General features: G+C 43.9%; 1 protein-coding gene across 1 annotated transcript in view; it reads left to right on the top strand.

Moving 5' to 3' along the window:
• The window catches only part of BRINP1 (BMP/retinoic acid inducible neural specific 1), a 202,807-nt gene extending 190,984 nt beyond the window's left edge, over nt 1-11,823 (top strand). Inside the window, exon 8 of the mRNA NM_014618.3 lies at nt 10,228-11,823. Within this exon, the coding sequence (NP_055433.2) occupies nt 10,228-11,368 (1,141 nt within the window). The 3' untranslated portion in view covers nt 11,369-11,823. The remainder of the gene's footprint in view (nt 1-10,227) is intronic.
• Nucleotides 11,824-12,025: the final 202 nt, after the last annotated feature.

Here is a 12,025-nt window from a genome sequence, read left to right as displayed (position 1 = left end):
TTGTATTCAAAAGACACACACACACAAACAATGAAATGAGCTTTTTGTGGTTCTAATCTCAAAATGAAATATGGAAAAGCAAAAGAAAGTTTGTTGACCTGGGGGATCAGGACTCACTGGTAACATTGCTTTACCTCTCTGCCCCCACTGTCTCTGCAGTTGGCCTCTCTAGAAAGGGAGGAGAATGGACAACTAGCCCACCCTTAAATGGCCCATCCAATAGTTGAATTAGGAACCCCCGCCTGGGCTCTTTCCCAAATCTGTGAGTGAGTTAACACAGATGATGCCTTGGCTGCATCTCTTTGTCTCTATCCTACCCACTCTAATTTCATTCCATTTCATCCTCCCTGTCCAGGGTCTCCTCCATAGCCTGTGTCTGCTCATTTGCTCCACATTTCCCCACCATCTCCAACACCAAGTCCTTTTCTCCACTTATCACCCTTCCCCACTCTCCACCTTTCCCCTCTGTTTTCTTTCCTCTTTCCCTCAGCCTCGTGCTCCCTGCTCCCCGTGAACACCACCTGCTTTCTAAGTCCTCTTGCTGTATCATTAATGCCTTCTTTGATACAGCCCACAACCTCATGATTATTCTGAGGTCAGGAGATGCAGGTGCCACGCAGCTCGCGAATGTATCTCAGAGGCCCTCTGTCCCCAATTCCTCCTGCCTGACAGGGCTGGAATCCTAATTTGCCACTAGCCCCGTTGCTTATTGCAGCATCACCAGGAACTTTCATCTTTTTATTTCCCTCACCGAGGATTCTGAGAGTTCAGCCACAATGAAGCATTGATTCAAGGAGTGGGGGCTGTGGTCCTTACAAAGGGTCCCAATGATGAGACACGAGAAAGGGGGCGCTCTACGGGGTTATAGAATGCCTTGCAGATGGGAACAGAGGAACTCTAAATGGGGTACTGTCCTGTCACTTGGAGAGGGAGTGACAGGGGCAAGTGTGGGCCATGTGAAAGGGGCATTTTGAAATGACGCTCTCGTCAGATGGAACCACGCAATCAGGGCCGTGTGGAGGGCCCCTGCAGCTCACAAAAATATCAGATGACTCATACCCAATATTCAGTCAATGTTCTGGTTTGGGAGGTGGGAGCCACATAGCTCATTATTATTCCAGCTCCGTTTCCTGAAGGCTGGGCCTGCTGCTGTTCTCCAGGCTGTAATAGGATTGGTCTCACGAAGCAGAAACTGGGGAGGCCTGGAGCTGTGTGGGTGGATGGTACGGAAAACGAATACTGCAGTCCTGAGGGGAGAGGTAGAAGTTTGTTTTTCCTTTTTTAAATGAAAACTAACAAGAAAAATATGAATATTCTTTATGCATTCATTCATCAAACATTGATTCACTCAGCAAGCATTTGTAGAGCCAGCCTCTGGGCTAGGTGCTCGGAGAAGAAGGGACCTCTCCTCTCAAGCCTAAGAGCCTGGAGGGGAAACTGACAAAGAAACGAGGGGTTTCAATACAGTGTTTTGAATACTGTCAGGGAGGTTTTATCGCCAGGTCCGGGTGGTTCTGTGGATTTAAAAAGGAGAGGGTTTCAAGGAGCCCACTAATTATTCCGCCATTTTTTCCCAGCCGATAAGCAACTCATCGAAAGCAAAGCATGCTGGGAAGCCATTTCAACAGTATCCATTTTCAAATGGATATAACAAAATGGTTTTCCTCAAACTCCAGAGCGATAGTGAAATCCCCGAGAGTGTCTCAATACCTTCAAAGGAAGAGCTTATTTTCTGGGATAAGAGTACTTTTTATTATTACCTTTTCCGTAATTGCTCTGTGCCAGGCTCTTTTAAGCACTTTAAATATATTATCTCACTGAATCCTCTCACCAGCTGCCTAAGATGGGCTTTATTATCCTCATTTTAGATATTGATACTGAGACTTAAAAAGAGATGAAGTGACTTGATCCCGGTTATAGAATGCAGCTTTGAACTCAGCTCCGCTTGGGCCAACAACCATACTTTTCAACATTAGGCTCTACTGCCTAATTAGGCTCTTGGTGTTTGTGGTTTGGGGATTGTGGCTCATCAGTGGAAGTGATAGAATAGATGGATTGTTAACACTTCCTACCACAGAGAGTACAATGCAAATTAGCTTCTGTTTCTAGTTTTATAAAATGAAGATCAGGAACCACTGAGAGCATCATCGTCATCATCACCATCACCATCTCCACAGCACGACAGCCTTAGGAAAGGTGCTCTTGACTCTCGCTTGACAGACAATGCAAAAAGCCACAGCTGTGAGCCAGGAGACTACTCTGATTGTTTGTTTGACTCTGAGCAGTCCTTTCACCCTTAGCTTCCATTGCCATGTCTGTAAAATATTGCTGACAGTCCCTTTGCAGGAATAACAACCGCTTTTATTGAGCTCTTAATAAGTACCAAGTTTGGGGTTAAGCCTTCACATAAAAATTCATATAATCCTCACATAGCTCTGTGTGGTGGGAATGATTAGGAAGGTGAAGAAAACTGCCCAACATTACCTCAGCTTGCAGGTGGAGGAGCCAGGATTTTCAGCTGTCTCTGACTGACCTCAAGTCCCAAGGTATTTTTAGGGTGTTGCTGTGAGGCTCAAGCGAGAAAATTGGAGTGAATATACCCTGTGCAGGGTAAAAAGTGCTAGACACACAAGAGTTTATTGGTAGCATGGAAGACAGCCAAAGGGTGACTTGAATGGAAAAAAGGAAAGATGAGAGGCCTCTAAGCTGACTGCCTTGCATATTTGTTCCTACTCTGATGCTGCTTCTTATCTGATGGAATATCTGTCTTCATTAGAATGTTTTGGTGGCTGAAATCAGATTATAGACTTTGGTATCATTTATAGTGTTGAGGGCCTGTGGGGAGGGGGCCCAGAGGCTGCAATAGAAATCAACTGAATGGAGAGTTTGGAGCTCTGGAAAAATGCAGGGAAATAACCCCCCCTTTTTTTTATTATACTCTAAGTTTTGGGATACATGTGCAGAACGTGCAGGTTTGTTACATAGGTATACATGTGCTATGGTGGTTTGCTGCACCCATCAGCCCATCATCTACATTAGGTATTTCTCCTAATGCTATCTCTCCCCTAGCCCCCCAACCCCTGACAAACCCCAGTGTGTAGTGTTCCCCTCCCTGTGTCCATGTGTTCTCATTGTTCAACTCCCACTTACTAGTGAGAACATACAGTGTTTTGTTTTCTGTTCTTATGTTTGTTAGTTTGCTGAGTGTGATGGTTTCCAGCTTAATCCATGTCCGTGCAAAGGACATGAACTCATCCTTTTTTATGGATGCATAGTATTCCGTGGTGTATATGTGCCACATTTTCTTTTTTTTTTTGTCTTTTTTTTTTTTTATACTTTACTTTAAGTTTTAGGGTACATGTGCACATTGTGCAGGTTAGTTACATATGTATACATGTGCCATGCTGGTGCACTGCACCCACTAACTCGTCATCTAGCATTAGGTATATCTCCCAATGCTATCCCTCCCTCCTCCCCCCACCCCACAACAGTCCCCAGAGTGTGATATTCCCCTTCCTGTGTCCATGTGATCTCATTGTTCAATTCCCACCTATGAGTGAGAATATGCGGTGTTTGGTTTTTTGTTCTTGCGATAGTTGACTGAGAATGATGATTTCCAATTTCATCCATGTCCCTACAAAGGACATGAACTCATCATTTTTTATGGATGCATAGTATTCCATGGTGTATATGTGCCACATTTTCTTAATCCAGTCTATCATTGTTGGATATTTGGGTTGGTTCCAAGTCTTTGCTATTGTGAATAATGCCGCAATAAACATACGTGTGCATGTGTCTTTATAGCAGCATGATTTATAATCCTTTGGGTATATACCCAGTAATGGGATGGCTGGGTCAAATGGTATTTCTAGTTCTAGATCCCTGAGGAATTGCCACACTGCCTTCCACAATGGTTGAACTAGTTTACAGTCCCACCAACAGTGTAAAAGTGTTCCTATTTCTCCACATCCTCTCCAGCACCTGTTGTTTCCTGACTTTTTAATGTTTGCCATTCTAACTGGTGTGAGATGGTATCTCATTGTGGTTTTGATTTGCATTTCTCTGATGGCCAGTGATGATGAGCATTTTTTCATGTGTTTTTTGGCTGCATAAATGTCTTCTTTTGAGAAGTGTCTGTTCATGTCCTTCGCCCACTTGTTGATGGGGTTATTTGTTTTTTTCTTGTAAATTTGTTTGAGTTCATTGTAGATTCTGGATATTAGCCCTTTGTCAGATGAGTAGGTTGCAAAAATTTTCTCCCATTCTGTAGGTTGCCTGTTCACTCTGATGGTAGTTTCTTTTGCTGTGCAGAAGCTCTTTAGTTTAATTAGATCCCATTTGTCAATTTTGTCTTCAGTTGCCATTGCTTTTGGTGTTTTAGACATGAAGTCCTTGCCCACGCCTATGTCCTGAATGGTAATGCCTAGGTTTTCTGTCTAACGTTTAAGTCTTTAATCCATCTTGAATTGATTTTTGTATAAGGTGTAAGGAAGGGATCCAGTTTCAGCTTTCTACATATGGCTAGCCAGTTTTCCCAGCACCATTAAATAGGGAATCCTTTCCCCATTGCTTGTTTTTCTCAGGTTTGTCAAAGATCAGATAGTTGTAGATATGCGGCATTATTTCTGAGGGCTCTGTTCTGGTCCATTGATCTATATCTCTGTTTTGGTACCAGTACCATGCTGTTTTGGTTACTGTAGCCTTGTAGTATAGTTTGAAGTCAGGTAGTGTGATGCCTCCAGCTTTGTTCTTTTGGCTTAGGATTGACTTGGCGATGCGGGCTCTTTTTTGGTTCCATATGAACTTTAAAGTAGTTTTTTCCAATTCTGTGAAGAAAGTCATTGGTAGCTTGATGGGGATGGCATTGAATCTGTAAATTACCTTGGGCAGTATGGCCAGTATGGCCATTTTCATGATATTGATTCTTCCTACCCATGAGCATGGAATGTTCTTCCATTTGTTTGTATCCTCTTTTATTTCATTGAGCAGTGGTTTGTGGTTCTCCTTGAAGAGGTCCTTCACATCCCTTGTAAGTTGGATTCCTAGGTATTTTATTCTCTTTGAAGCAATTGTGAATGGGAGTTCACTCATGATTTGGCTCTCTGTTTGTCTGTTGTTGGTGTATAAGAATGCTTGTGATTTTTGTACATTGATTTTGTATCCTGAGACTTTGCTGAAGTTGCTTATCAGCTTAAGGAGATTTTGGGCTGAAACAATGGGGTTTTCTAGATATACAGTCATGTCATCTGCAAACAGGGACAATTTGACTTCCTCTTTTCCTAATTGAATACCCTTTATTTCCTTCTCCTGCCTAATTGCCCTGGCCAGAACTTCCAACACTATGTTGAATAGGAGTGGTGAGAGAGGGCATCCCTGTCTTGTGCCAGTTTTCAAAGGGAATGCTTCCAGTTTTTGCCCATTCAGTATGATATCGGCTGTGGGTTTGTCATAGATGGCTCTTATTATTTTGAAATACGTCCCATCAATACCTAATTTATTGAGAGTTTTTAGCATGAAGGGTGGTTGAATTTTGTCAAAGGCTTTTTCTGCATCTATGGAGATAATCATGTGGTTTTTGTCTTTGTCTCTGTTTATATGCTGGATTACATTTATTGATTTGCGTATATTGAACCAGCCTTGCATCTGAGGGATGAAGCCCACTTGATCGTGGTGGATAAGCTTTTTGATGTGTTGCTGGATTCAGTTTGCCAGTATTTTATTGAGGATTTTTGCATCAATGTTCATCAAGGATATTGGTCTAAAATTCTCTTTTTTGGTTGTGTCTCTGCCTGGCTTTGGTATCAGAATGATGCTGGCCTCATAAAATGAGTTAGGGAGGATTCCCTCTTTTTCTATTGATTGGAATAGTTTCAGAAGGAATGGTACCAGTTCCTCCTTGTACCTCTGGTAGAATTCGGCTGTGAATCCATCTGGTCCTGGACTCTTTTTGGTTGGTAAGCTATTGATTATTGCCACAATTTCAGATCCTGTTATTGGTCTATTCAGAGATTCAACTTCTTCCTGGTTTAGTCTTGGGAGAGCGTATGTGTGGAGGAATTTATCCATTTCTTCTAGATTTTCTAGTTTATTTGTGTAGAGGTGTTTGTAGTATTCTCTGATGGTAGTTTGTATTTCTGTGGGATTGGTGGTGATATCCCCTTTATCATTTTTTATTGCGTCTATTTGATTCTTCTCTTTTCTTCTTTATGAGTCTTGCTAGTAGTCTATCAATTTTGTTGATCCTTTCAAAAAACCAGCTCCTGGATTCATTAACTTTTTGATGGGTTTTTTGTGTCTCTATTTCCTTCAGTTCTGCTCTGATTTTAGTTATTTCTTGCCTTCTGCTAGCTTTTGAATGTGTTTGCTCTTGCTTTTCTAGTTCTTTTAATTGTGATGTTAGGGTGTCAATTTTGGATCTTTCCTGCTTTCTCTTGTGGGGATTTAGTGCTATAAATTTCCCTCTGCACACTGCTTTGAATGTGTCCCAGAGATTCTGGTATGTTGTGTCTTTGTTCTCGTTGGTTTCAAAGAACATCTTTATTTCTGCCTTCATTTCGTTATGTACCCAGTAGTCATTCAGGAGCAGGTTGTTCAGTTTCCATGTAGTTGAGCAGTTTTGAGTGAGATTCTTAATCCTGAGTTCTAGTTTGATTGCACTGTGGTCTGAGAGATAGTTTGTTATAATTTCTGTTCTTTTACATTTGCTGAGGAGAGCTTTACTTCCAACTATGTGGTCAATTTTGGAATAGGTGTGGTGTGGTGCTGAAAAAAATGTATATTCTGTTGATTTGGGGTGGAGAGTTCTGTAGATGTCTATTAGGTCCGCTTGGTGCAGAGCTGAGTTCAATTCCTGGGTATCCTTGTTGACTTTCTGTCTCGTTGATCTGTCTAATGTTGACAGTGGGGTGTTAAAGTCTCCCATTATTAATGGGTGGGAGTCTAAGTCTCTTTGTAAGTCACTCGGGACTTGCTTTATGAATCTGGGTGCTCCTGTATTGGGTGCATATATATTTAGGATAGTTAGCTCTTCTTGTTGAATTGATCCCTTTACCATTATGTAATGGCCTTCTTTGTCTCTTTTGATCTTTGTTGGTTTAAAGTCTGTTTTATCAGAGACTAGGATTGCAACCCCTGCCTTTTTTTGTTTTCCATTTGCTTGGTAGATCTTCCTCCATCCTTTTATTTTGAGCCTATGTGTGTCTCTGCACATGAGATGGGTTTCCTGAATACAGCACACTGATGGGTCTTGATTCTTTATCCAATTTGCCAGTCTGTGTCTTTTAATTGGAGCATTTAGTCCATTTACATTTAAAGTTAATAGTGTTATGTGTGAATTTGATCCTGTCATTATGATGTTAGCTGGTTATTTTGCTCGTTAGTTGATGCAGTTTCTTTCTAGTCTTGATGGTCTTTACATTTTGGCATGATTTTGCAGCGGCTGGTACCGGTTGTTCCTTTCCATGTTTAGCGCTTCCTTCAGGAGCTCTTTTAGGGCAGGCCTGGTGGTGACAAAATCTCTCAGCATTTGCTTGTCTGTAAAGTATTTTATTTCTCCTTCACTTATGAAGCTTAGTTTGGCTGGATATGAAATTCTGGGTTGAAAATTCTTTGCTTTAAGAATGTTGAATATTGGCCCCCACTCTCTTCTGGCTTGTAGGGTTTCTGCCGAGAGATCTGCTGTTAGTCTGATGGGCTTCCCTTTGAGGGTAACCCGACCTTTCTCTCTGGCTGCCCTTAACATTTTTTCCTTCATTTCAACTTTGGTGAATCTGACAATTATGTGTCTTGGAGTTGCTCTTCTCAAGGAGTATCTTTGTGGCATTCTCTGTATTTCCTGAATCTGAACGTTGGCCTGCCTTGCTAGATTGGGGAAGTTCTCCTGGATAATATCCTGCAGAGTGCTTTCCAACTTGTTTCCATTCTCCCCATCACTTTCAGGTACACCAATCAGATGTAGATTTGGTCTTTTCACATAGTCCCATATTTCTTGGAGGCTTTGCTCATTTCTTTTTATTCTTTTTTCTCTAAACTTCCCTTCTCACTTCATTTCATTCATTTCATCTTCCATTGCTGATACCCTTTCTTCCAGTTGATCGCATCGGCTCCTGAGGCTTCTGCATTCTACACGTAGTTCTCGAGCCTTGGTTTTCAGCTCCATCAGCTCCTTTAAGCACTTCTCTGTATTGGTTATTCTAGTTATGCATTCTTCTAAATTTTTTTTAAAGTTTTCAACTTCTTTGCCTTTGGTTTGAATGTCCTCCTGTAGCTCAGAGTAATTTGATCGTCTGAAGCCTTCTTCTCTCAGCTCGTCAAAGTCATTCTCCATCCAGCTTTGTTCCGTTGCTGGTGAGGAACTGCGTTCCTTTGGAGGAGGAGAGGCGCTCTGCTTTTTAGAGTTTCCGGTTTTTCTGTTCTGTTTTTTCCCCATCTTTGTGGTTTTATCTACTTTTGGTCTTTGATGATGGTGATGTACAGGTGGGTTTTTGGTGTGGATGTCCTTTCTGTTTGTTAGTTTTCCTTCTAACAGATAGGACCCTCAGCTGCAAGTCTGTTGGAATACCCTGCCTGTGACGTGTCAGTGTGCCCCTGCTGGCGGGGTGCCTCCCAGTTAGGCTGCTCAGGGGTCAGGGGTCAGGGACCCACTTGAGGAGGCAGTCTGCCCGTTCTCAGATCTCCAGCTGCATGCTGGGAGAACCACTGCTCTCTTCAAAGCTGTCAGACAGGAACATTTAAGTCTGCAGAGGTTACTGCTGTCTTTTTGTTTGTCTGTGCCCTGCCCCCAGAGGTGGAGCCTACAGAGGCAGGCAGGCCTCCTTGAGCTGTGGTGGGCTCCACCCAGTTCGAGCTTCCCGGCTGCTTTGTTTACCTAATCAAGCCTGGGCAATGGCGGGCGCCCCTCCCCCAGCCCGCTGCCGCCTTGCAGTTTGATCTCAGACTGCTGCGCTAGCAATCAGCGAGACTCTGTGGGCGTAGGACCCTCCGAGCCAGGTGCGGTAATATAATCTCGCGGTGCGCCGTTTTTTAAGCCCGCCGGAAAAGCACAGTATTCGGTGGGGGAGTGACCCGATTTTCCAGGTGCCGTCAGTCACCCCTTTCTTTGTTTCGGAAAGGGAACTCCCTGACCCCTTGCACTTCCCAAGTGAGGCAATGCCTCGCCCTGCTTCAGCTCGCGCACGGTGCGTGCACCCAATGACCTGCGCCCACTGTCTGGCACTCCCTAGTGAGATGCACCCGGTACCTCAGATGGAAATGCAGAAATCACTGTCTTCTGCGTCGCTCACGCTGGGAGCTGTAGACTGGAGCTGTTCCTATTAGGCCATCTTGGCTCCTCCGCCACATTTTCTTTATCCAGTCTATCATTGATGGGCATTTTGGTTGGTTCCAAGTCTTTGCTATTGTGGACAGGGCTGCAATAAACATCGTGTACATGTCTTTATAGTAGAATGATTTATAATCCTTTGGGTATATACCCAATAATGGGATTGCTGGGTCAAATGGTATTTCTCATTGTAGCTCCTTGAGGAATCGCCACACTGTCTTCCACAATGGTTGAACTGACTTATACTCACATCAACAGTGTAAAAGTGTTCCTGTTTCTCCACACCTTCTCCATCATCTGTTGGGAAATAACCCCTTTCTAACATGTTCTAAAAAACCACCATGAGGATCATGTAAGATCATCAATAGAAATCACTACATGATTTCTAGCGTATGATAAAATATAATTTGTTTTTGTTGAAGTTGGTAGATGTTATACACCCTCATGGGAGGAATCTGTAATGGGGGTTGAAACATGTGGTTTAAGTAAACAAATAACCCCTAAGGTCTTTTTCATTGCTGATTGTTTACAATATGTTGTCATCCAGAAGGGGTATTTGAGTCTAGACACTTTCATTTCCTGAATCACACTTTTCTGGGACTAGTGTATAATGGAATCAAAGAGCTGGAAGGACCCCAAGGAACATTTACTCCAACCCCTTCACTTTGCAGATGAGGACATTGAACATTAGGAAGGTAAAGTACGATGTCATGCAGCTGGTTTGTGGCATTAGGAGGAGCTACAATGTAGTTCTTACGTTTATATTCGATGCCCTTCCTGTATTGTCACTGCTCCATCCAGTCCTTTCATCTTTTTGGCAGCTCCAGTTCGCATTATCAGTTGGATAACTGTAACTCACAGACCCACTCATGGTAGCTAACCTTCTCCAATTTTCCTTTATCTCCCAGGACAATTCAGCAGTGGCTTGCAAGGGTCCAGTCACTCCTCTACTGTAATGAGAATGGGTTTTGGGGAACCTTCCTGGAGAGCCAGCGGAGCTGCGTGTGCCACGGCAGCACCACGCTGTGCCAGCGCCCCATCCCCTGCGTGATAGGCGGGAACAACAGCTGCGCCATGTGCAGCCTGGCCAACATCTCCCTCTGCGGCTCCTGCAACAAGGGCTACAAGCTGTATCGAGGCCGCTGTGAACCACAGAACGTGGACTCGGAGCGGAGCGAGCAGTTCATCAGCTTTGAGACTGACCTGGACTTCCAGGACCTGGAGCTGAAGTACCTGCTGCAGAAGATGGACTCACGCCTCTACGTCCACACCACCTTCATCAGCAACGAGATCCGCCTCGACACCTTCTTTGACCCTCGGTGGCGCAAGCGCATGTCCCTCACTCTCAAGAGCAACAAGAACCGCATGGACTTCATCCACATGGTGATCGGCATGTCCATGCGCATCTGCCAGATGCGCAACAGCAGCCTGGACCCCATGTTCTTTGTCTATGTCAACCCCTTTAGCGGGAGCCATTCGGAGGGCTGGAACATGCCCTTCGGGGAATTTGGCTACCCACGCTGGGAGAAGATCCGTCTCCAAAACAGCCAGTGCTACAACTGGACTCTTTTGCTGGGCAATCGGTGGAAAACATTTTTCGAGACGGTCCACATCTACCTACGTAGTCGGACTCGGCTACCTACCCTACTGCGAAATGAGACTGGCCAGGGCCCCGTGGACCTGTCGGATCCCTCCAAGAGGCAGTTCTACATCAAGATCTCAGACGTGCAGGTGTTTGGGTATAGCCTGAGGTTCAACGCCGACCTCCTGCGCAGTGCAGTGCAGCAGGTCAACCAGTCCTACACACAGGGCGGCCAGTTCTATTCCTCTTCGTCAGTGATGCTCCTCTTGTTGGATATTCGGGACCGAATTAATCGCCTGGCCCCTCCTGTGGCCCCGGGGAAACCCCAGCTGGACTTGTTCTCCTGTATGCTGAAACACCGCCTGAAACTGACCAACAGCGAGATCATCAGGGTGAACCACGCCTTGGACCTGTACAACACGGAGATCCTCAAACAGTCGGACCAGATGACAGCCAAACTCTGCTAACCCGGGACTCCTTGCCATGGACTTTTCCTGTTGTTGTACACACACAACAGAACAAAATGAAGCAAAACAAAACAAAAAAACCCACAAAAATTTGTAAAATGTAATTAATATTCAAAGAAAAGGAGGAAAATCTTCATTTGTTGGAAATGAAAACGTTCTAGCAACTGTATAAAAGCGTTGGGCATGTTTGTTATTTCTATACTCACTCTGTCATGAAGAAGGGTCTCAGCCTTTTGTGGAGCATTGAGGGAGTTGCTTCTTAGGCCTCAGGTGCTGTATTGGGGGAGAAGGGAGAAAGCATATGCAATGAATTGTAAAGATCTCTGCTGTGCAGGTGCTAAGATTAAACACTAAAAAGAAAGAGAGATATATGTAATGTACAACTGACACTGCCATTTTTCCTTTTTGGAGGAAATGGACATAGATAAAGAAGATATTTCTTCGGTTAAGATTTATTCCCTCTTTATGCTTAATTAATTCCTTGTGTGTGTTTGTTTTCTCTTCTTTTTGACTCTTTCTCACACAGGGGTGGGAATACAGTGACAATGCTATCTTACCCATAGGGCATCTTTCATTCTGAATACATTAAAACTAATGCAAGCTGGCCAGTAGGTGGGATTAGGAGGGGGTACATTCACATAGTCACAGGACAATAAG

The sequence above is a fragment of the Homo sapiens genome, chromosome 9 (genome assembly GCF_000001405.40).
Source record: "Homo sapiens chromosome 9, GRCh38.p14 Primary Assembly".
Classification (NCBI taxonomy): domain Eukaryota; kingdom Metazoa; phylum Chordata; class Mammalia; order Primates; family Hominidae; genus Homo; species Homo sapiens.
The sequence above is the reverse complement of the archived record's forward strand: the minus strand, read 5'-3'. Positions and strand labels throughout refer to the sequence as shown.